Source organism: Homo sapiens, chromosome 5, assembly GCF_000001405.40.
Source record: "Homo sapiens chromosome 5, GRCh38.p14 Primary Assembly".
Taxonomy (NCBI): domain Eukaryota; kingdom Metazoa; phylum Chordata; class Mammalia; order Primates; family Hominidae; genus Homo; species Homo sapiens.
This window is the reverse complement of record NC_000005.10, coordinates 141,312,962-141,337,334: the sequence shown is the minus strand read 5'-3', so window position 1 is coordinate 141,337,334 and position 24,373 is coordinate 141,312,962. Positions and strand designations below refer to the sequence as shown.

At 41.0% G+C, this 24,373-nt stretch overlaps 2 protein-coding genes and 1 further gene across 3 annotated transcripts in view, besides 5 other annotated features; 1 reads left to right on the top strand and 2 right to left on the bottom strand.

Annotated features, from left to right (window-relative positions):
* Window positions 1-6,650, bottom strand: part of PCDHG@ (protocadherin gamma cluster) — a 182,295-nt gene extending 175,645 nt beyond the window's left edge.
* The window catches only part of PCDHGA1 (protocadherin gamma subfamily A, 1), a 182,462-nt gene extending 175,641 nt beyond the window's left edge, over window positions 1-6,821 (bottom strand). Inside the window, exon 1 of one of the 2 annotated variants that reach the window (NM_018912.3) lies at window positions 4,230-6,821. In NM_018912.3, coding sequence (NP_061735.1) covers window positions 4,230-6,650 — 2,421 coding nt within the window. In that variant the 5' untranslated portion in view covers window positions 6,651-6,821. Of the gene's footprint in view, window positions 1-2,695 lie in introns of those variants that run through there. The other variant, NM_031993.2, reaches the window with a different exon arrangement.
* Window positions 3,436-3,665: a silencer, noted in NCBI's record as "fragment chr5:140713237-140713466 (GRCh37/hg19 assembly coordinates)". NCBI's record gives its function as "represses an EF-1alpha promoter that drives an FKBP-Casp9 reporter gene in an ReSE screen in HepG2 liver carcinoma cells and K562 erythroleukemia cells {active_cell/tissue: HepG2 | K562}" and the evidence as "EXISTENCE:reporter gene assay evidence [ECO:0000049][PMID:32094911]".
* Window positions 10,888-11,007: an enhancer, noted in NCBI's record as "active region_23294". NCBI's record gives its function as "activates an Ori minimal core promoter by ATAC-STARR-seq in GM12878 lymphoblastoid cells {active_cell/tissue: GM12878}" and the evidence as "EXISTENCE:reporter gene assay evidence [ECO:0000049][PMID:35858748]".
* Window positions 16,023-16,172: an enhancer, noted in NCBI's record as "active region_23293". NCBI's record gives its function as "activates an Ori minimal core promoter by ATAC-STARR-seq in GM12878 lymphoblastoid cells {active_cell/tissue: GM12878}" and the evidence as "EXISTENCE:reporter gene assay evidence [ECO:0000049][PMID:35858748]".
* Window positions 16,183-16,242: an enhancer, noted in NCBI's record as "active region_23292". NCBI's record gives its function as "activates an Ori minimal core promoter by ATAC-STARR-seq in GM12878 lymphoblastoid cells {active_cell/tissue: GM12878}" and the evidence as "EXISTENCE:reporter gene assay evidence [ECO:0000049][PMID:35858748]".
* Window positions 16,551-18,845, top strand: TAF7 (TATA-box binding protein associated factor 7). Its single transcript, NM_005642.3, has one exon. The coding sequence runs from the start codon at window positions 17,291-17,293 to the stop codon at window positions 18,338-18,340; it is 1,050 nt and encodes a 349-aa protein (NP_005633.2). The 5' UTR covers window positions 16,551-17,290; the 3' UTR covers window positions 18,341-18,845.
* Window positions 16,823-17,022: an enhancer, noted in NCBI's record as "active region_23291". NCBI's record gives its function as "activates an Ori minimal core promoter by ATAC-STARR-seq in GM12878 lymphoblastoid cells {active_cell/tissue: GM12878}" and the evidence as "EXISTENCE:reporter gene assay evidence [ECO:0000049][PMID:35858748]".

Sequence of the window (24,373 nt, the reverse complement as noted above, 5' to 3'; positions counted from 1 at the left end):
TGCCATAAACATAGGTGTACAAATATCTGTTGAAGTCCCTATTTTCACTTCTTTTGGGTAATAACCAGAGTGGAATTGCTGGATTATATGGTAATTCTATGTTTAAATTTTTGAGGAGTCACCATACCATTTTCCACAGCAGTTGTGTCATTTTATATTCACCAGCAATGCACAAGAATTCCAATTTCTCCATATTCTTGTTAACATTTCTTTTCTTTTCTTTTATGACAGCAATTCTAATGAATGTGGAGTAGTATCTCATTATGGTTTTGATTTGCATTTCCCTAATGACTAGTGATGTTGAACATTGTTTCATATGGTTTTGGCCATTTGTATATCATCTTTGGAGAAATGTCTATTCAAGTCCTTTGCTCATTTTAACATCCAATTGTTTGGGATTCTTTGTTGTTGAGTTCGAGTTCTTTATTCTGGATATCCATTCTCAGATACATGATTTGGAAACATTTTCTCTCTTTCTGTGGGCTGCCTTTTCACTCTATTGATATTGTTCTTTGCTGCATATAGTTTTTAACTGTGATAAAGTCCAGTATACAATTTTTTTCTTTTGTTGCTTGTGCTTTTGGTGTCATATCCAAGAAATCATTGCCAAAAATCAATGTTATGAAGGTTTCCTCCTGTTTTCTTCTAAGAGTTGTATAGTTTTAGTTCTTAAACATAATAACTAAAAGGGTTTTATTGCTTCTGAATATTGCTTCTTTGATCCATTTTGAATTAATTTTTGTATGTGGCATAAGTGGAATTGCCCATTTCTGGTGACACTTTAATCTGTTTGCCTTTTGGCTCCTTCCTTATTGAAATTTTCTCATTTTTACTTTCATCCATTCCTCTTACAAGACTGAAGAAAAATATATTGGAAATAATTGATACCAACTCACCATGTTTTCTTGTAGAGCTACTATGGTATATTTTGCTTTTGTTTTTTATTTTTATTTTTGTGTTTGTGTTTGTGTTTTTTTGTTTTATAGAGATTGGGTCTTGTTATACTGCCCCGGCTGGATTCAAACTCCTGGGCTCAAGCAATCCTACTGCCTCAGCCTACTCAGTACCTGGGATTATAGGTGTGCCATTGTGCCTGGCTCTCTTACATGAGTCCTAACGTTAGACTTGACAGAATTTTCATTTTCTCCCCACTGGTTTTATTACATTTATTGTCTGCTTCCATTATTTCATCCTCAGAACTCTTCCATGGTTGCATTTCAAAAATGTAACTCTTTGTTATTTTTTCCATCATTTTATTTTAGTATATACTCATTGTATGTTTTTTATCTTACTTCTTGAATGGCAAGCTAAATTCATGTATTTTAAATAATTTTGTTTGCTTTTAAAAAAATTATTGCATTTGTCTATAAACTTACTCCTAATTAGTTTTAGTTGCATCTCACAATTTTTAATAAAGAATATTTAAGTCCTTTTTTTCTGAGTAGTTTTCATTGTCATTGTGATTTTTGAAATCCAAGAGTTATTTAAGGGTGTAGATGTAAATATCCAAACTTTTTCCCTTTTCTATTTTTAAATGTTTGCTTTGTGATTAAGTATGTGTTGTAAGGCAAGTATATTATTGGTACTTTGCAATTTGCTGAACCCTTTTTTGTAATGACTAGGTAATAAACTTGTAGATTGTCTGCTTGTTCAAGGATGACTATTCCATATTTGTTGTGTGCAGAACGGATCTATTAGAATCCTAATAGATCAAGCTTCTAAATTATGTTGTTCAAATCTTCTTTATGTTAACTAACTTTCTTCCTGTGGGGTCTATTATTTCTTATGGAATTATGTTTAAATATTCCGGTATTTTCTAAGCTATATTTTTCAGTAATAGAAGCTTATATTTTTATATCCTTTTGATCATCTGCTCTTTTTACAACTATAATCAGTTCATTTTTTAAAATCACAATTTGTGTTTGTTACCTTAAATATGACTTTGTTGTTACATTAACATGACTTTCTTTTTTGTGTGTGTACATATATATTTAGTTTCACTGTTTCAGTGTATTTTTATTTTAAGCACGTGTATTATTAGAATATGGATTTTAAAAATCAACCAGTTTTGTAATATTTGTCCTTTAATAGGTAAATGTAGCTCACTTGTATATACACAGAAAAAAAATTATGATTATAAGAGCTGAGAAAGTCCAGAAGTGAGATAACTTAGTTATCAATTGAGAGTATACTCTTGGTACCAAGCAAAAAATAAAAATAAAAATGCAACAGACACACAGCAAGAATGAGAGAAAGTCTTCAATAGTTACCAGAGAGAAAACAGAGATTACCTTAAAAAATAACAGTGTGTTGACAGAAAGTTTCTCACTAGTAACAATAAATTCTACGAGACAAGTGTGTTTTGAAATTTTGGTTTGTATATTTATTTTTAGTGGAAGAGCTCTGTTTGTTTTTAGTTTTAGTTTGTTTTTTTCTCTTCTACACTATATCCCTCTCTCCTTCCCTCCTGGGTTCAGTGCTCATTTGTAATGGTTTTGAAATAGTTTCTATCTGACCTCAGGTCCCAGGCCATAACTAGGTCTCTTAATGACGCTTTAATGATGCACAGCAGTGATATTCTGGATACCACAGCTCACATATGAGATACTTGGTGTTCGCTGTCTCTATCCAGCATCCGTGTCTGTCTCTCTCTCTTGGTCTACACAGCTTACGAAGAAAGTTATAACCACCGGAATTGGGAAACAGCTTTTATTATTATATTTATTTATTTAACAGGGTGTGGCTCTGTCGCCCAGGCTGGAGGGCAGTGGCGCGATCACGGTTCGCTGAAGCCTTGACTTCCTGGGCTCAAGGGATCCTCCCACGTCAGCTCCTGCCCCGCCCCGCCCCGCCCCTCCCCGCCCCGCGTAGCTGGGACTACAGTCGCAGGCCGCCCTGTCCGGCTGGTCTTGAACTCCAGGGCTCCAAGGATCTTTCCGCCTCAGCCTCTCAAATTGTTGGAAATACAGACGTGAGCCACTGCGCCCAGCTAGGCAGCATGTTAATGCATCTTTCTTTTCCTTTTTAACCAGCTGAAGGGCCTCATTGCTTATTTTGGATTCAGGCAGTAAGCCTGGTCCAGATATTTATCTAGTCTGAAGCACTTCTGTCCCTATTACATTGCTGGAGGCAGTTTCCTAACCTTCAATTTCTGCTTTTAAGTCCAAGACTATAACTCACATGGCTTTAGACTAGCTCACCACTTTGCTTTTGCTTTCCTCTTATATTTTATGTATCTCTGTATTTTATTGGAGCAGAGTAAATACATCAAAGCATGGACTTACTCCCCGACCATACTTTTTTTTTCTTCTGAAAAGTTAACACACATTAAAATAGGATATATACTTGATTTTTGTTAGCTGATTTCATTACAGGTATAATGTATAAGTCAGGAGGCTTCAAAGATATTTCTCAAGTTGCATGATAAATTTTGTGTTGTTCATTTTGTTACTTCATACATTACTTAAATAGACGTATTCTTCAGTACAGGCACCACAGCTCACACCTGTAATATCAGCACTTTGAGAGGCTGAGGTGGGAGGATCGCTTGAGCCCAGGAGGTAGTGGCTGCAGTGAGCCATGATCATGCCACTGCACTCTAGCATGACCCCATCTCAAAACCAAAAAAATCTGATAATAAAGATAGAATAAAAGGCTAAAATATTCAACAATAATTTAAAATTGCAGTTTATATAGATCTCTATAATCTTATATGAACACAACTAAAAATACTACTTTAGACAATCTTCACCTCTTCAAATGTCCCCAAATAAACTATCACAGTGTCCTGACAGATGACATCTACATTAAATTCAGGGGTAGATTAGCAGGTACTTATAAAAAGAAAATTTGAAAATAGTGTTAGTCATTTAAATATTGGTGAGCCTTTTCTAATCAAACCTTTTAGCCCAGAGGCAAGTAAGAAAATGTTAGAAGCTAGATCGCCGTTTCTAATGCAGTGCTCTTTCCAAACAGAGATGGCATCTCACACATACCTTCAACCCAACCACCTACATTATGATCACAGTCTCCTTTTCAGTGCAAGAACAATTATAAATATACCTGCATATGAACGTGTAGACTCAATCGTGATTTTGCAGGACTTGTAATAAAAAGCTACAAAGATACATGGGTTAGAAGAACTATCTGTAGCAAAGAGCGAACGCTAGTAAGTTAAATCAAGAATTATTTTTCTCTAGATAGCTGATACATTCATCACAAAAGTTTACCTGAGAAAATGGTTCCTTTTTGTCTTCAAGTAAAGACTGGGGTGCTGATAGAAAACCCTTTTTCTCACAGCTCTCCTGGCTGATGAGTGTGTCCGCATAGTTGGGCTGGGGGAAAATCAGGTGGCTCTTCCGCGAGTCCGCAGTGAGGGAGACCTCGTGGGAATAGGTCTGCAGGAAAGCCCGAACCCCGTCCACGCCCACAAAGTGCGAACCGGGCATGCTCGCTAAGCCGCCTCCCGAAGCCTGTAGCAGACGTGACTTGTGCCAGCGCCGCAGCCTGTGCGCCAGCAGCACGATGACGAAGGCCAGGAAGACGCAGGAGACCGCGGCCGCCGCCACCACCAGGTACAGAGTGAGGTCCGAATCGTTGGGTTTGGCGGAGGGCTCGAGGCTGCCCAGGTCGGCCAGGATGTCGGAGATCCTGTCGGCCACGGCCACGGTGAGCGTGACAGTGGCGGAGAGCGGGGGCTGGCCGTGGTCCTGGACGGCCACCACGAGACTCTGCTTGAGCGCGTCTCTGTCCAGCAGGGCTCGCGCCGTGCGCACCTCGCCCGTGTGCAGACCCACCGAGAAGAGTCCCGGCTCGCTGGCCTTGAGCAGGCGGTAGGACAGCCAGGCGTTCTGGCCCGAGTCTCTGTCCACCGCCACCACCTTGGTCACCAGGTAGCCGGGCTCTGCGGAGAGGGGCGCCAGCTCCACGCCGGTAGAACCATCTGTGGGGAGGGCGGGGTACAGGATCTCGGGCGCGTTGTCGTTCTGGTCCAGCAGGAATAGGCTGAGAGACACGTTGCTGCTGAGGGGCGGATCCCCACTGTCCCGCGCCATCACTTTCAGTTGCATGTCCCGGAACTGCTCATAGTCGAAGGATCGCAGCGCATACAGGACCCCAGTGTCGGAGTTGATGGAGAGGTAGGCAGATAGGGGTGCCCCCTGGATAGTGTCCTCTATTAGGGAGTAAGTGATTTGTGCATTCTCATTGCTGTCCAAGTCGTGGGCCCTCACAGAGAAGATGGAGGCTCCTCTGGGGTTGTTTTCGGGAATGTAGGCAGAGTAGGAGTCCTGATGGAAGACTGGGGAGTTGTCATTGATATCTGTCACTAGTAGTGAAATGTGAGTTTCAGTAGATAGAGCTGGAGTTCCTTGGTCTATTGCTGTTATTGTGATGTTGTACCCAGAGATAAGTTCTCTGTCCAGTGTTCTTTCAGTCACTAAACGGTAATAATTATCAACTAACTTTTCCAATTTAAAGGGTAAATTTCCAGGAATGAAACATGTGGTGTAGCCATTGTCTCCTGAGTCCTGGTCATGCACACTGATAAGAGCAATTATGGTCCCAGGAGGAAAGTTTTCTGGAACTGCAGTGGTGACAGAGGTGATGGTCACTTCTGGGGCATTATCATTTACATCCAAAACTTTGATCAGTACCTTAACTTTAGCCATGAGCCCCGCACCATCCTGGGCTTGAACTTCCATTGAATACATTTTGTATTCTTCGAAATCTAGTGGTTCTTTATTTGATATTTCTCCTGTGTAAGAATCTAAACGAAATATTTGGGCCACTCTGTGGTCTACATTGTGAAAGGAGTACGTTACTTCCCCATTGGCTCCCTCATCAGGGTCAGTGGCATTTACCATGAGCAGCTGAGTACCCAGCGGCACGTTTTCGGGGACATTTATATGGTATTGTGCCTGAGTAAATGCTGGAGGATTGTCATTTGCATCCACCACCTGAATGTAAATTCTGAGGGTCCCTGAACGGACTGGTTCACCCCCATCAGAAGCTGTGAGGATGAGGTGGTGGACAGCTTCTTCTTCTCTGTCTAAGGGACTCTGCAGCACCATCTCTGGATGTTGAGGCCCATCGGCTCCCTGTTGCACATCCAGGGAGAAATGAGGGTTAGAGCTGAGTTGGTAGCTCTGGAGTGAGTTCATACCCACATCAAGGTCTTGCCCAAAAGGCAATGAGACTCTGGTACCTGGAGTCGTTATTTCATTCATTTTAAACTCCAGTTCCTCTAACTGGAATTGGGGAGTGTTGTCATTAATATCAATTATTTCTACTTCAACAGGAAAAAGCTTCATTTTATCCTCAACAAGGATATTAAAACTCACGAGACACGGCATGCTCTGAGCGCAGAGCTCCTCCCGGTCTATCCTGCGCGCGGTGATCAAGCTGCCACTTCTAGGATTCAGAGCGAAAAGCGGCATCCTACCTCTGGAGACGATGCGGACTCCGCCATCTGCCAGCTCCTGGGGTTGCAGCCCTAGGTCCTTGGCGATGTTGCCTACGAAGGAACCTTTGTCTGTCTCTTCCGGCACTGAGTAGTGAATATTCCCAGCCCCAGCTTCCAACAGCAGCTCCAGAGAAAGACACAGAAGCATCAGCCTGCTGCAGCCAGTCAGCTTTTTCTGAATCTTCATGGCTCTCTCACTTCGTAGTTTTCTTCCAGTCCAGTACCAAGGGTATCGTTTCTGCTTTTCTGAGCTGAAATTAACCCAATTTTCAGGAGAATTCTGACTGGAGAGTCATCCAGAAGTAGGATTTAGGCAGTCTTGGACAGTCAGTTTTCAATCTGGCGGTTATGGAGGTTCTAAGAGGCACGAGAGCTTTTTTCTTTTTCTTTTTTTTTTTTTTCCTCCTCCTGACCTGTGTGTACTGCCTGTATCTACCAGATTAGTGAACAGCGGCGCCCACAGTCCTAACCAGTTACTGCATTCCTAGCAAATACTGAAAACCTTCTCATTAACTTGTTATTTTCTTAAGTTTTAGTCTATTGTCAAGGAAATAATTCTACAATATATGTATGAAAAAGAGAAACTATATGTTCACTTCTTTAAATGTGCCTAAATGTCACCAAATTGAAATATACAGGAGAATCCAAGTATTCCCATGTTATCTGCTTTCCAAGTTTGCTATTCAGGGAATTATAGTAAAAACCTAACATTACAATGAGGACAAAATCATCTCTCCACTTTTTCTGTAGTAAAGTTTGACCACTTGGTAATTTCCCAGGCCACATAGAGCAGCTCCCCTTTGACTGGAGGGTGAAAAGTATTAGAGGGAAAAATAATCTTTTAGAATATAAGCTAGACTTTAAAAAAATCATACCATCCCATTTCCTTCCCATTATGATTTGAATATTTATCAGAAACCTTGGGATTTTGAAGAGCATGGTTTAACCCTATCCTTATTTTTCCTCTTTTTTTTTTTTGAAGTGTCTTTGCATTATGTGGGTTTTTAAAAAATTCTTAAGATTCACCAAAGGCAATATATTTTGAAAAAAATAAAACTGGGCTCTTGGAATTTCATTGAAAAGTCACATGAATATATAATTTAGATTTCAAATTTCAGAGACAAAGTCTATGATATTATTCTTCACAGCTGAAAAGAAAAATGGTCTCATCTTTATTTTTAGATAGGCTCTTATAATATGTATTCCTCTATAATCGCACTTAATATTTTCTCCAAGAGAAGTTGGTTTTCTCTTAACAGTATTTTTTAACCAGTTGAGGATGTGGCCTTCTTTTTTTTTTAATCACTGCACTATTAGCAAAGGGTTACTAATTAAAATGTCTCAGGCTTAGAGTGACTTACTTATCTTTACCCCAAAGTTAGAGAAGCATGCTATCTGTACTCCAGAGTCTGATAATTTCAGGAACAAATTCGGCCAGCCAACCCATGGACACCATGACTGAGAAAAGTTAAAAATGAGGAAAGAAAGAAAACAATGAAAGGTCTCAATAATAGTTTTTGGAAAGAGAACTTTAGTTCTTAACCAAATCTACAGTTTCTCAGCTTCTCAAAGACAAGTACATGGAGCCAAAGAGTAGAAATTTAAAGGTGCAATAAATCATCTTCAATATTGCAAGGAAGTAACTCTTTAACAGAGAATGTAACTTTTCAGAATACACATTAATAGGCATAAACTTTTCCCCAAAGAAATTGTGAGCTAATGAGGTAAATTAAAATATACATAAGAACTAGTAAGTAAACCTGTAGAGCTCCCTACTTTCAGCAACCAAAAACACGCAGGAGTGATTTATAAAAGGATGGTAAGTATAAAATAAAAATGTTAAAATATCACACAAATACATTTGAATCAAATGCAACATTTAAAGCTTCATTGCTGCCCACACACAGTGGCTCACGCCTGCAATCCCAGCACTTTGGGAGGCCAAGGTGGGCAGATTACTTGAGGCCAGGAGTTTGAGACCAGCTTGGTCAATATAGTGAACCCCGTTTCTACAAAAACAAAAATAAAACAAAGCTTCATTGCTGGCACTGCAGAGAATACCTGGTTCAAAGCTGTTTCTTGAGTTAAAGAAATTAAGATTTTAAAAATATCTAAAACCACACATACGTTGTAGGAACAGGGCAAATTTCCTTTCTTTAAGTTGGAGACAACTCCATATCCGGGCTTGGACCAGAGATCCAGCTGAAAACAGCCCCAGGCAATGGAGCTATAGGGGGCATTGCAGGTTCAGAGAGATGGCCAGAGTCACACTGAGGAGAAACAGCATGGAGATCAAGGCAACGGCCATCGCCAGCTGTTGGGTGCTGTCTGCTGCCTGCTGTTGGGTGCTGGGCGATTGCTGAGGTCTGGTAGCAACTCCTGCAAACTATGAGCAGCAACCAGGTGATGTTTCAGCGTGATGATTCACCATTGACCACGGTGACCAACAAACCTTGGCAGGTTGCATCTCTGTTACCCACAGTGACACGGCACGCATCTAGCTCGTGCACATCCCTAGTTTGAAGAGCCACATTAGCTGGCCTGAAGCACATGATAGGACAGTCAGCCTTTATGCCCCAGCTGGTGTCCACTTTGGTGATGGGATAGCTGGGTTGCATTGTGAGTGGTGCAGCATCAAAGAGGGCCCCACTTGGCTGCAACTCCTGGCATAGTGTCCTTGCATTTTTGCAATGGTCATCCACCATCACATGCAGGTTCAGGATGACACTGAGCAAGTTGAACCCTGGTCACTGGCCTGCAGAGTCAGCTCAAAGATAGTCTGCATGGTAACCATAGCACTCTGCACTCACTGACATGTAGAATGACAGTGCCCACAGTGGCAGGTCACTGGTCAAGAAGAAACAGGAGGCATATGGGACCCTAAGTTAGGGTGGGAAGCGCTAAAGCATGTGATGGAGGTGCTGGGCAGTGTTCCCAGTCACCCAAAAGAAATAGGAGGCTTGTTGAAGAATGAGCATTTTTGTGGATGCAGATGGTATGCAGGGTGATGCAGGAGAGGGACAGTTTGTCCTTGTTGGTGGTTCTGATGGTGACATTGTCCTTCAGGGTCTGCTACCAGTTTAGAATTCCATCTGTGAGTATCTGACAAAGAGTCACATCATAATTCTTGGAGGTGAATTGTTTGCCAGTATGATCATTTCTCTCTATAATAACTTTCATCTTTCATTTAAGGTCTCTTAGTCCTATTGTTTTGGTTAGGGCAACCACAGTTTTTACCTCTGATAGGACTAGATACCCAGCTGAAAGTCACCTGCACTGACTGCATTATACTTCTCAACCTTCATTTCAACCAGGACTCTGAAGTCGGCCCTCAAACTGCCTCCAGTCTTCTATTCCAAGCTATAACTGTTACTCTTCAAAATCAAGTATTTCTGTCATTATTGGACAGGAAATATATTCTGTATGCCCTGTAAAATTGTGTAGAAAAATCAGGAGAACTCTATATTAAAGATATTGTCTAGGTCAATGGGGATCACCTAAAGAATGAAGAGGAGGAGGTGGCGAGCAGGTTCTCCTGCAGGCTAACCCCACTTACACATTGCTCAATATCTGACGGCTGGCATTGGCATCCAAGGCCTGTGTCTTGCCCTGAGCTGTTCTGCCCCATCCCCACCACTAAGTGGTGGCAGCTCTGCTCCTCTGGTTCAGGGTTTCTTTTCTTTTCTTAAGAGATGGGGTCTGGCCATGTTACTCAGGCTGGAATGCAGTGGCTATTCACAGGTGTTCTCATAGTGCACTGCAGCCTCTAGCTGGCATCAAGCAATCCTCCTGCCTCAGCCTCCTGAGTAATGGGGACCACAGGAGTGCCACGCTGCACAGGCTCAGGGGTTCTTCAATAGCAGCAATTCAGAGTACATACTGCTGTAGTACTCTCCTTTACTTGTAGGGGAAGGGGAGATGGCTATTAAAACTAATCTGATATATTTGTACAGTTACTGCCGGTGTTCAAAATCTACTGCAGACTTAAGAGTAAACATTCCTCTTATTAAGACGTTTTTCAAAATTTCCAAAACAAAATTTGTGCTAAAAGCCATTTTGTTATTTATATCAAAGATGCATACGTTTATATGAAAACATTTATACGATTTTCAGTGCCTTCAAATTCAAAGGGCCGAGGGTCTTCCTTGGGCATAACTGCTAGATCTATCCCGTCATTCTCAAGCTCGGCTCTGGCTCGTTCTCTGGCTGTAAAGAGAGGCTTCTCAGCACTTACCCTTAGTTCTTTCCGTCACCGAGACGCAGATCTTCTGAGAGATTACCAACCTTAAACCCCTAGCCTTCTCTTCCAGAATTTTACAGCGTATCGGCTACGTAGAATAAAGACCTAGTAGAATAAAGATCTCAGGCAGGGAAACAGCGCTTCCTGCGCTCCTCACGCCTTCCTTATGGGGGACTTCTTCCTCTGTTTCTTCTTCCTGCTGATACTCAGATCCGAATACCTCTCGCTACCGTTGCTCCCTGCTTCCTGCTTCCAAAGATGCTCAGGAATAAAAGGCAGCACCTCACTCGGGGTCACTAGACATCCTGAGATTCCTGACCAAGATATTTCGAGCAGATTGTGAGACAGACAGCGGGCAGAGTCCTCTCCTAATGTGTGTCTCAAAAGCCTGCGGGGACTGCTGCGTCAGTGGATTGCTTTGTTTCCCTCCAGCCACGGATTGGCGGACAGCGGCACCCAGAGGCCTAGTATGATATCCCTAGCAGGTTAGTTTTCAAGGTCCTCAAAAGAGACTGTATTGGCTTTTTTCTCGAGACATATTTTAAAATACCAGCTGCTTTACTAAGAAGGGTACAAATCATTGTTTTTGATAAAATATTAGCAAAATGATCATTTCACAAAATTTAGTTCTAACGTTTTATTAAAATTCTTAATTTTTTTTTTTTTTTTTTTTGAGACAGAGTCTTGCTTTGTCACCCAGGCTGGAGTGCAGTGGCACGATCATGGCTCACTGCAACCTCCGTCTCAAGGGTTCAAACAATTCTCCTGCCTTAGGCTCCCTAGTAGTTAGGATTACATGTACACACCACGATGCTCAACTAATTTTTGTACTTTTAATAGAGATGGGGTTTCGCCATGCTGGCCAGGATGGTCTCGAACTCCTGATCTCAGGTAATCCGTCCGCCTTGGCCTCCCAAAGTGCTGGGATTACAGGTGTGAACCACCGCACCCAGCCTAAAATACATTAAAATTCGACTAAGAATTCTTACAAATTTTTCCCTCTTGACATTTCCTTTTCAAGATGACACACTATTGAAACTTATTTTCTGTAAAAATGGCTACTCAAGAAATTATCCACTGTAAAAAAATTATAAAAAATTCTCACTGTAAATTCAATATATTAAAGGAGAAAATTTCACTATAAAAGGTAGAAAATACTGATAAAAATGTAAAATTATGAATAATTGCATTATGTAACTACTGATATAAAGAATTTACATTCGATGCTTATCCATACTTTAAAAATAGATATATACTTTCACAATTACAAAAATAAGCAGCTCTTTTATGGATACTATTGGTTGCTCATGCCCCTTTTTCCTCTTGTAACACTTCCTTTTAGTTTAGGTGTTCGCCCTTAATGTACCTAGGGAAGCAGAACCTATTCAGAGCTGTAGTAGGTTCTGATAAATTTAATCTAATAATGATAATCTCATCCTCTTGACAGTGCTTAGTTAGGAATATAGACTTAAAATAATAAGCTTAAAGCAGGGCTTCTCAACCCTGGTACTATTTTGAGCCATATAATTCTTTGTGGTGGGGAGCTGTTCTGTGCCTTGTAAAATGTTTAGCAGTATCCCTGGTCTCTATATACTAGATACCAGTAGGACCCACCCCCCACAGTTGTGACAACCATAAATGTCTCCAGACATTACCAAATGTCACCTCACCTCTCCCCAACCATTTTCAGAAACACAGGCTTAGGGTATTTCCCTAGTATTACTGAGCTAAGAATGGGAACATGGCCTAAGTTGGTCCAGTTGGATTGAAAGATAGACTGTTTGGGGAGAGTAACTCTCTTGTCACGGACAATGAAGAAAGTTCTCCAGTTATTGCTGCTGGCTGGTATCTTGTGACTACAGCCTTTAGAATTCCACAAGGAGAGGAAAGCAGAGCTGAAACAACAGAAAAAGTATAAATAAGTGCTCATTCTTCAAAATTAGGAAGAAAAAACAATTTGTGCTACACCATGATTGTATCTGGCCTAGAGGCAGTGAAACTTCTAGACCTGCACTGTCCACTAGAGTAACAACCAGCCACACGTGGCCACTGAGCACTTGAAATGCAGCTAGTCTAAACTGAGATGTGCTGTAAGTGTAAAACACACACTAGGTGTTGAAGATTTAGTACAAAACAAGAATGTAAAACGTATTATTAATATCTTTACATTATTGTAAAAATATGTTGCAATTATATCTTAGATATATTGGATTAAAATTATTGAAATTTCACTTGTTTCTTTTTGCTATTTGAATGTGGCTACTAGATAATCTAAAATCACATCTGTGGCTGACCATCTGTGGCCCACATCATATTTCTATAGGACAAAGCTGTGCTAGACTACCTGTATTTTGGGATCATAGATTTTCTTACTGTTTAAACCAGCATAAATTAGATTTTAATGTTTTCCTATAGAAAACATCCTACTAGATAAAAGAACTGCTAAATATTTTTAGTTAACCTTTTTATCTTTAAAATATATGGTGATATAGCAATATGTAAGCTGGCTTTTCTGTGGTATTTGCTATTTCCTCACCCCTATAATTTTCTACCTCCTAAATATAAGCAGGATTTCTCCCATCACCCATAATTTAACCTCCAAAGTATAAGCAGCCCTTTAAGGAACTAAAAAGTGTATTAAAGGGCAGCTTATATTTTGGAGCCCTTTAAAGAACTAGAAAGTGTATTAAAGGGAATTTTCAAACATACACGATTATTAGTAACCTGATTGCCACACTCCTTAATCACAGACAGGAAGCCTTTGGAGGACTTGTTACCACACTGGGGAATTTATTGCTCTCCCCAAATCTTTTGTTCACTGGTATCACAGATATTCCATGGAACAACCACAGGAGTGTAATTCATCAATTCAGAGTTTTTCTGAATGTCTAATGGAACTTTTTTTTAAAAAAAAACTGGGGATTTATCAGTAGACATTAAGATAATGTGATGTGGCAGAGGCCTTAGGCCTTAGTGATAGGCAGAGGACTGCCACATCACATTATCTTTTTTTTTTTTTTTCTTTTTGAGATGGAATTTTGCTCCAGTGTTGCCCAGGCTGGAGTGCAATGGTGCAATCTTGGCTCACTGCAACCTTCGCTTCCCGGGTTCAAGCAATTCTCCTCCCTCAGTCTCCCGAGTAGCTGGGATTACAGGTGCCCGCCGCCAAGCCTGGCTAATTTGTTTTTGTTTTTGTTTTTGTTTTATTTTTGAGAAGGAGTCCCCTCTATTGCCCAGGCTGGAGTGCAGTGGCGCGATCTCGGCTCACTGCAAACTCTGCCTCCTGGGTTCACGCCATTCTCCTGCCTCAGCCTCCCGAGCAGCTGGGACTACAGGTGCCTGCCACCGCACTCGGCTAATTTTTTGTATTTTTAGTAGAGACGGGATTTCACCGTGTTAGCCAGGATGGTCTCAATCTCCTGACCTCGTGATCCACCCGCCTCGGCCTCCCAAAGTGCTGGGATTACAGGCGTAAGCTACGGCGCCTGGCCCTTTTTTTGTATTTTTAGTAGAAATGGGGTTTCACCATGTTGGCCAGGCTGGTCTCGAACTCCTGACCTCAGATGATCCATCCGCCTTGGCCTCCCAAAGTGCTGGTATTACAGGCATGAGCCACTGCACCCAGCAGATTATCTTAATGTCTACTGATAAATCCAATTTAAAAAAATATTTAGGGTCAATATAATTTCCTCCCCTAAAACAGCATATAGAAAATGTGTTAAACTCAAAAGCAGAAAATGTATTTCAGGACTGAAGGAGCTAGATACATTAAGAAAACCTCAGTTAATCCTTTTAACTATGTCTGGCAATATTCCATGTAAAGAAAGGTTTAGAAACTAAAATACACAGTAATTTTGGAAAATGAAAAATTGCATACAATTTATCTCAAGTTACCTTCTATGATAAGAATATTTGAGCATCATAAAACTCATAGGGAAGATGCTGAGTAATATTTGGATTATTTTCATGTATAATGACCTCACATTGTATATGGTTAAACAAAACACAGCCAGGCGAGGTGGCTCAAGCCTGTAACAGAAAAAACTTCATCTTTGAAAAAGAGGAAATAGATCATTCTGGAAATTACAAGTAAGTCAGCTAACATTCTTCAACACATTATAAGCAAAGAGAAATAATTTACCGTTATCTGGAAGGGCATACTTTCTCTTTTAAAATTAACATTAAAAACCAAACTAACGTCAGGTCATTTTAATTTCCTCCCACAACAGTATCTCATTCTAGCTAAACCACATTCACACACACTATTAGTAAACCTCCCCACCTCATAACAATTAGAATTGTCCTTGACTAGAAAGGAAATGTATGTAAAGTGGCTCTATCTCATTTTAAAATGACAAAGAATGTATTTTCTCTCAGAAATCACTACAGGATTTGAGACTATGATCTTTCTAGACAGATAAGTTTTTTCATTCAATTAGCAAATATTTTTTGTGTATCTCCCACATTCTGGTACTAGGCACTGGGACACAATGACCAGGATAGAAGAAGATCACTATCATGGAGCTTTCAATCATACAAGAATAAAGTGAATTTTGGAAATGTTAATTACATCTTAAGAGAATTCTCTTAAATTTAGGGGCAATTGTTAATATTTTAGAGGATAGAAATGAAATATTAATGGCCTTGATGCTCTCCCAGATATTTTAAAAATAAATGGAAATAAATAGAAATAAGTACCAACTGTTACCCAGTTATGTTAAAATACTAAAAATATGTGTTGATGAATACCTGACTATTGATAGAAAAGACAAGCAGAAAACAGCAAAATAGTAGAGGTGGAGTTAAAAAAAATGTCAAAGTAATTTAAAATTACTTGTACATGAGAGACAGGAAACAATACTTCAATTATATCTACTTTAACCAGATGCTCAGTCTATCAGACAATTCTGTCCAAAAGAACACTTCCTTCTCTGTTTACATTTACATCTAAATCAAGCACATAAAAAGGAATCACCCTTGTTTCCCCAGAAGTATTATAGAACACAAGTAAAACCAGAGGCACAATTCCCCTACAGGGAATTATATTTAAAAATACAGACTTTGGGCCATGCGCGCTGGCTCACACCTATAATCCTAGTACTTTGGGAGGCCAAGACAGGCAGATCACCTCAGGTCAGGAGTTCGAGACCAGCCTGGCCAACATGGTGAAACCCCTTCTCTACTAAAAATACAAAACTTAGGTGGGGTAGTGGAACGTGCCTGTAATCCCAACTACTTAAGAGGCTGAAGCAGGAGAATCGCTTGAACCCCAGAGGTGGAGGTTGCAGTCAGCCAATATTGTGCCACTGCACTCTAGCCTGGGTGACAGCCTGAGACTCCATCTCCAAAACAAACAAACAAACATATATATAGAGAGAGACTTATATAGTAAGCTGCATGTCCTCCTCACTCCATTGATTTGGGTACTTTGAAATCCATTGTATAGTAGCTACACATTCTTGTATTGGCACCAGATAGGCTAGACTCTAGGGAACATCCGAGATGTTTCCAGAAGCAAAGACGCTTACTGCAAGGCGTCCCCCATCTCCCGGAATCACCCGGAAGTCTAGAAGCCATCCGGCCCCACAGCGATCCCGTAAAAGTGCTGGCTTAGCGGGGGACGAATCTGTGTCTTTCTTGGAACTTCCAAGCTCTAAATAGTTTGAAACCAACAGCTCTTCCGAAACACTGTCATTTCCATCCCGGAAAAACAAGTTCTCGCGAAAAGATGAGTTTCACGCTGGGCAGCGTAATTGCGCTATTGCGCCTGCGCTAGCTGGGGCTCCGCCCTTCCGCCCGGAGGGGCTGTCACTCACAGCCGCCTCCCGCCCCGCGTCGCGACGTAGCACTTCCGTTTTTGCTGGGTAGGCGACCCGGACGGAGGGCCGGCGAGGTGCGGGGTCTGGTGATGCGAGCTGCGCCTCTCGGCAAGATTTCGCGCTGCCCATCCCGGGCCCTTTCATCAGTAATCGGTAGTGGATCACTCTGCCAAGCGGCAGGAAGAATTAAGGAAACGACAAGGAGACGCTCGGCTCTCTCCCGCTTGGCTCCTTGCGGCCTCCTCTTCCCTTCGCTCCGGCCCGGTGAAACTGAACTTATAATCGTCACTGGATTGTAAGTACCCGAGGCGAAGAGAGCTCGCTGAGCCCTGATTTTTTGAGTGTCTTTGTTCCGGGAGAGTTTGTGAGTTGAAAGTATCTCTGCTGGGCTTTCTGGGCCGAAAACCGTTCCGGGGGAGCCGCCATTTGCTTTCCTGTTCCCTAGCTAGCTAGCTAGCTCTCTCCGCGTTGTCCGGCAGCGGCACCTAGAGGTTGGGACTTGGCATTGCATCTGATTTAATGAACTTAAGTCTGTGAATAAGCCTTTGTGTTAACGACTGGTATTCGGTCACAGCATATTTAGAGAAAAGACTTGGAGCTTAAATAAAAACTAAGGCAAAATAGACGCTTAGCTGCTGATCTACAGAGAACTTCTTGTAATTAAAAGATTTCAATTCATAGCAAACTGGTGTTTTAAACTATTGCAGTAGCTGGAACTTTTTAGTGTAACCAGCATTTATTGGAGAAGTGAATCACAAGGAAATAAAGATGAGTAAAAGCAAAGATGATGCTCCTCACGAACTGGAGAGCCAGTTTATCTTACGTCTGCCTCCAGAATATGCCTCTACTGTGAGAAGGGCAGTACAGTCTGGTCATGTCAACCTCAAGGACAGACTGACAATTGAGTTACATCCTGATGGGCGTCATGGAATCGTCAGAGTGGACCGTGTTCCATTGGCCTCAAAATTAGTAGACCTGCCCTGTGTTATGGAAAGCTTGAAAACCATTGATAAAAAAACTTTTTACAAGACAGCTGATATCTGTCAGATGCTTGTATCCACAGTTGATGGTGATCTCTATCCTCCTGTGGAGGAGCCAGTTGCTAGCACTGATCCTAAAGCAAGCAAGAAAAAGGATAAGGACAAAGAGAAAAAGTTTATCTGGAACCACGGAATTACTCTGCCTCTAAAGAATGTCAGGAAGAGAAGGTTCCGGAAGACAGCAAAGAAGAAATATATTGAATCTCCAGATGTTGAAAAAGAAGTGAAACGATTGCTGAGTACAGATGCTGAAGCTGTTAGTACTCGGTGGGAAATAATTGCCGAAGATGAAACAAAGGAGGCAGAAAATCAAGGCCTGGATATCTCTTCTCCAGGAATGTCTGGTCACAGGCAGGGCCATGACTCATTAGAACATGATGAGCTTCGGGAGATATTCAATGACCTCAGCAGCAGCAGTGAGGATGAAGATGAGACCCAGCATCAAGATGAAGAAGATATAAACATCATTGACACGGAGGAAGATCTGGAGAGACAGCTACAGGACAAGCTAAATGAATCAGATGAACAGCACCAGGAAAATGAAGGAACCAATCAGCTGGTTATGGGAATTCAGAAGCAGATTGACAACATGAAAGGCAAGCTCCAAGAGACCCAGGACAGGGCAAAACGACAAGAGGATCTCATCATGAAAGTGGAAAATCTGGCTCTCAAGAACAGATTTCAGGCTGTACTGGATGAGCTCAAACAAAAGGAAGACCGAGAAAAGGAGCAACTCAGCTCTTTGCAAGAGGAGCTAGAATCACTCCTAGAGAAGTAAAAAGAACTGATATTTAATTTCAGTCTTCAGACTGGTCAGCATTAGAAAATTCTTGGCTTTATTGTACTGGGTATTAAGACCTTGCTCTTCCTAGTCCTTTTAATGCTGTGTGTTCTGTTAAGTTCTTTCATTTGTTTGTAATTTTGTTTTTCAGCAAATTTATATTGTTTTGCTAGGTGTTCATCCTATAAGAAGCAGGATTGTATAGGCAGAAAAATGATTGTAGGAAAGTTGCAGGATTAGCGGAATGTATGGTTCAACCTTAATTATAGCTTCATTGCAGGACTTTACTGTTTCTCCATTTTCTAGAAGCTGCTGTTGCTGCTTTGTGATGACGTGAGATCAATAAGAAGAACCTAGTCTAGAGACAATGATGCTAGTTTGCATATGTTTTCCTATGCAATAATTGTTTTCCCAGTTATTCAAAGCAGCTTTCTATATGTAGAGATGCAAATTATTAAGTTGTTTCCAATACAATAAATAAAAGCATCTGTTTTTCACTTTATAGTGTATCTTGTTCTTTCATGGTTGGTGGGAGTCAGGTCCTCTTGTGAGGTGGTTTTATGGTGGAGTTTAGTGACTAAGCAATTTGATCCCGTTCTGCAGGTAGAGGCAGTAGGGTTTATGAAAAAAAGGAACACAGCAGGGGTAAAGAAATTGGGAATGGTCATGTTTGCATCATATTAAGATTCCAATTCTATTTGATCTACTTGAAAGCTGGGAAACATTAGATACAGAGCTTTCTTAAAGTACCCTAATTTTTGTAGATGAAGGCCTTTGTGCCTTTTTTAAAAAGCGCTAAATCTACCTGCATAAAATGTTGGAAACAAAGCAGTGGTTATCAAGTGCAGTCCAATGAACCATTCCATTGGTTTGGATTAATATTTCTAATTTTCTTCAGTTGAGTTCCTATAATTAATATTCTGAGAACTGAGGTCATTTATCAATGTCATTTCATCAAAATTGCTCATAAAGGAAGTTGGTACCAAATTTCTCATGCTCTAAAGATAATCTAATGCCTCACAACATAAGCTATTTTTGAAAAATCAGTTACTGATAAAAGAGGCAGAGTTGTATGCAATTTGTTTGACAGGTTGGTTTATGAGAAGCTTGGGTTTGAAAATATTTAAAGTTTTTTTTTTTGAGACGGAGTCTCGCTGTGTCACCCAGGCTGGAGTGCAGTGGCACCATCTCGGCTCACTGCAAGCCCCGCCTCCTGGGTTCACACCATTCTCCTGCCTCAGCCTCCTGAGTAGCTGGGACTACTCAGGTGCCCGCCACCATGCCCAGCTAATTTTTTTGTGTATTTTTAGTAGAGACGGGGTTTCACTGTGTTAGCCAGGATGATCTTGATCTCCTGACCTCATGATCTGCCCGCCTTGGCCTCCCAGAGTGTTGGGATTACAGGCATGAGCCAGCGCGCCCGGCCTCTTTTTTTTTTTTTTTAAGACAAAGTTTTGCTATTGTTGCCCAGGCTGGAGTGCAGTGGTGTGATCTCGGCTCACTGCAGCCTCTGCCTCCTGGGTTCAAGCGATTTTCCTGCCTCAGCCTCCCGAGTAGCCGGGATTACAGGCATGTGCCACCACACCTGGCTAATTTTGTAGTTTTAGTAGAGACAGGGTTTCACCATGTTGGTCAGGCTGGTCTTGAACTCATGACCTCAGGTGATCTGCCCACCCTGGACTCCCAAAGTGGTGGGATTACAGGCCTGAGCTACCACACCCGGCCTAAAGTCCATTTTACTTCTATCTGACAAGAAACAGTATTGAAATGTTAAAAAAAAAAAAAAAGTTACCTAGTCCTCAGGTCTATAATTAAATATGCTGACATTTGCAGACTTCAGAAGGCTAATTTATCTTTTTAAGTGAAACGTTTTTATGAGTAAGTTTTTTTTTTTTTTTTAGATGGAGTCTTGCTGTGTTGCCAGGCTGGAGTGCAGTGGCGTTATCTTGGCTCATTGCAACCTCTGCCTCCTGGGTTCAAGCGATTCTCCTGCCTCAGCCTCTGGAGTAGCTGGGACTACAGGCATGTGCCACCAAGCCCAGCTAATTTTTGTAATTTTAGTAGAGACGGGGTTTCACCATGTTGGCCAGGATGGTCTTGATCTCTTGACCTTGTGATCCACCCGCCTCGGCCTCCCAAAGTGCTGGGATTACAGGCGTGGGCCACCGTGCCTGGCCGTGACTAGGATTTTAGCACAGAATATGTAAGCTTAAGCAAGGTTTCCCTCAATATCTAGGTTTTATATTATTTCTTGAGGTTTCCAAATAATATATATTAAACAACAACAAAAAAACAGTTTAGGATGCTAGGTGACAAAATTTACTGTTTTTGTAATCTAGGTATTTTGCTACACTTAGAAGATTGACACCTGAAAAGCTCCCACCATATCTGGCTTTACAGTGGATCATTTATCAAGTAGTTTATTCTTACCAAGGTCTCAACACCAATGGTGGCAGTTCCATCAATAACAGAAAGGAAAGATTCTGGATACAATAACAAAATAGTATATTGATCTCACTATTCCTGTTTCAGTTATGAGTTCTAAGTGGATTCTAAAATCCACGTTTCCAACCTTGATTCTTCTGTGCTTCAGGTTTAGTTTAGCCAGATGTGTACTAGAAACATACTTGAAAGTATCTCTCAGGCAACTCAAGTGTAAATGTTCAAAATGGCCGGGTGCAGTGGCTCATGCCTATATCTCAACACCTTGGGAGGCTGAGGCAGGTGGATCACCTGAGGTCAGGAGTTCAAGACCAGCCTGGCCAACATGGCAAAACCCATCTCTATTAAAAATACAAAACAAATTAGCTGGGCATGGTGGTGGGCACCTGTAATCCCAGCTACTTGGGAGGGTGAGGTGGGAGAATAGCTTGAACCTGGGAGGTGGATGTTGCAGTGAGCCGAGATCATGCTACTGTGCTCCAGCCTGGGCAACAGAACAAAACTCCATCTCAAAAAAAAAAATACAGGTTCAAAATGGAACTTTTCCTCTTCCTTGAAAATTTGCTTTTCCTTCTGGGTTCCAGTAAAAATAAATGGCACCACCACACATCCCAACTGTGGAAGCTGGACACTAGAGCCATAACTTTACATTTCTCCCTTTCCCTTGCTACTTTTGATTTTACTTAAGAAGTTCTTCACTCACTCTACTTCATCCTTACAGCCACTGTCCTATTTCAAGCCATTATTATTATCTATCAAATGGCAATAGCTTCTTTACCATCCAATTTAGTTTTCACTGCCACCAAACTCATTTTTCTGAGACATATTTGATTGTGTTACTACCATGCTGAAAACCCTTCAGTGACATCTCATTGCTCTCAGGGCTAGGTTTGTATTTCTCAAAAAGATGCACAAGATTATGAGTTCTCCATTTACCTTTTCAGCCTCAGCTCCGCATTCAGTATATGGTCAGTCCACTCTGAACTTACATTTTTTTCAAGGAGCTTACTCATTCTCCCACTCCTGGGCCATAGATCCTTTTAACAAGCAGTTCACTCCACCTAGATGACTTTACCCTTTGTCTGAGTCCTACTTAACCCTCAGGTCTCAACCTAAGTGACTTCAGCAAGGCTTTTCTGACCCTTTTCTCCCTCTAGGTTAAGCAACCCTATTACGGCTTTGCACTTTGTTCTTCCCTCTCTCATTTATTTGACAAACATTTTGTGTGTGTGTGTGCCAAACTACAAGGGGTGTGTGTGTGTGTGTGTGTGTGTGTGCGCGCGCACCAAACTACAAGCTACTGGATATGCAGTGATGAACAAAGCATTTAGTGTCTATAAACTCATGCACTGCACGGTCTACTGGGATGAGTATCTGTTATAACTAAAGTGTAAATTACCTTTGTTCGTATCTCCTGCTTGGCTTTAAATTTACTGAGATATTTTGCTACATTAGTGACTGTAAACTTACTGAAGAATAGTAGAAAGATCAAAATCTTAACATCAAGACATGTCATGCATGGTTCGTATCCTAGCTCAGTTACCTATTAGTTGTGTGACCTTGCACAGGTAGCAATCTGTTTACCTCAATTTTCTCATCTCCAAAGTGGAGGCAATAATACTACCTACCTCATAGGGTTATTGGGCTGTTGGCTGCTGGCTGCTGAATCATATAAATGACTTATTTAGAACAATGCCTGGAACATAGTAAGTAAACAACAGAAGTAAATTTACCACTATTACAACCCATTAAGGTATGGACCATAACAGATACTAAATAATTAAAGAGTGACTGAAATGTTAGAAAAAGTGTTTATAGGGAAACAACTATTCTAAATGTAATTGTTTTCAAATTTAAGAAATTTTAGAGATCAGTTTCAACCAAATTCAGATGGGAAAAAAAATTCTAAATGAAAGCTTATAAATTAGGTTACAGCAGAAACGGTTTGCTTCAAATTTATCTGCAGCATAAACAAATTTACTCAGCTCTTTCCTCCTACAGTTTAGCACTTACAGTTCTCTTTTCTTGGAATAGTCACCAGATATTCTCATGGATAGCTTTTTGTCACTGAAGGCCCAACTCAACCCTTATTTTCTCTGGTAACCCTATCTGGCCATTCAATCTAATTCTTAAGAAGCATGTGATTTAGATGTTTCATCATGTCAGGTGCTATGTCAAGTGCAGTGGTCTTCATTAAAAAGTTGGAAGGTTCTTTGCTACTATTTTCTAATATATGTGTTCTGGAGGATATGTGCTTAAAAACAGAAGCAGCATCATTCTGGTTAGTTGGAATCAGGGAAATGGTTTTAATTGCTTAAGATTGCCTATTATCTTGGGCAATGTTACTGTATATGCTTGGCTCTGTTTTCTCCAAGTCCAACTGTATGGTCAAATGTATTTCATAGAATTTGACCTCAGGGAATCTGCCTCTGTTACTTGTGTTATTATGCCTGACAATTCATTGAAGGTATTAATGTTCTTGTACTGATCCCTGGCCTTGGTGTTATGGAGTATGGTTTCCAATGTGATATTTTCCTCCAAATAACTTTGTTTAATGGAACTGGGGCATACTGGGACACTGTCATTTACATTTATCTTTAGTTATGGGTATGTGAGTTCCTCTCACTGTTTCACCTCTGGTGGTCATAATGAGATGATGAAAGACTTCCTCTTTCTTTTCTAAATCATTCTGTAAGATCAGCTACATGGTGGTGTCTTTTTTTGTTCTAATTTTAATATCTAGGGAAAAATAAGCATTGCTTTTCAAATTCTAGTTTGCAGACAACATATTCTCATGTTGAAGTTTCAGGTACCCCTTAACTGGAAACTCATGTCAGGCAATAGTCTTACACTAATTTTAATAGATGTCTTTCTACTTGTAAAAGAACACCCGGCTGGGCATGGTGGCTTACGCCTGTAATCCCAGCAATTTGGGAGGCCAAGACAGATGGATCGCCTGAGGTCAGGAGTTCAAGACCAGCCTGACCAACAAGGTGAAACCCCATCTCTACTAAAAATACAAAAATTAGCCGGCTGTGATGGCAAGCACCTGTAGTCTCAGCTACTTAGGAGGCTGAGACAGGAGAATTGCTTGAACCTGGGAGGTGGATATTGCAGTGAGCCGAGATTGTGCCACCACGCTCCAGCCTGGGTGACGGAGCGAGACTCCATCTCAATAAAAAACAACAACAAGAACAAAAAAATCAAAAAACAAAAGAATACCCATGAATTGTCACTCATAACTAGAATTTCACTATCTGGTTTTTCAACATCTGCAGGTATTTTCAATATCAGCATGGGTTTTGTACAGTTTTTCAAAATGTATAAGGCCTTGGCTTTTCTCATCATGTATCTCTTCCTAATTACTGTTGCTATTGAAACATATGACCCCATTCTGTAAGCTTCACATGAATTGTGTTCTACCTTAAGAGACAATGTCCTGAGAGAGCACTATTCTGAAGTCCTTGGTTGTTACTCATGAGAAAGACTTGTCTCATTTCAGGTACATTTTATGAAGAATGCTCAGCAGGGCTGGGCGCAGTGGCTCACTCCTGTAATCCCAGCACTTTGGGAGGTCGAGGCAGGCAG

Bases quoted from the DNA above. Each gene is read 5' to 3' on its own strand.
- TAF7 (NM_005642.3), top strand. From the start codon at position 17,291: ATGAGTAAAAGCAAAGATGATGCTCCTCACGAACTGGAGAGCCAGTTT.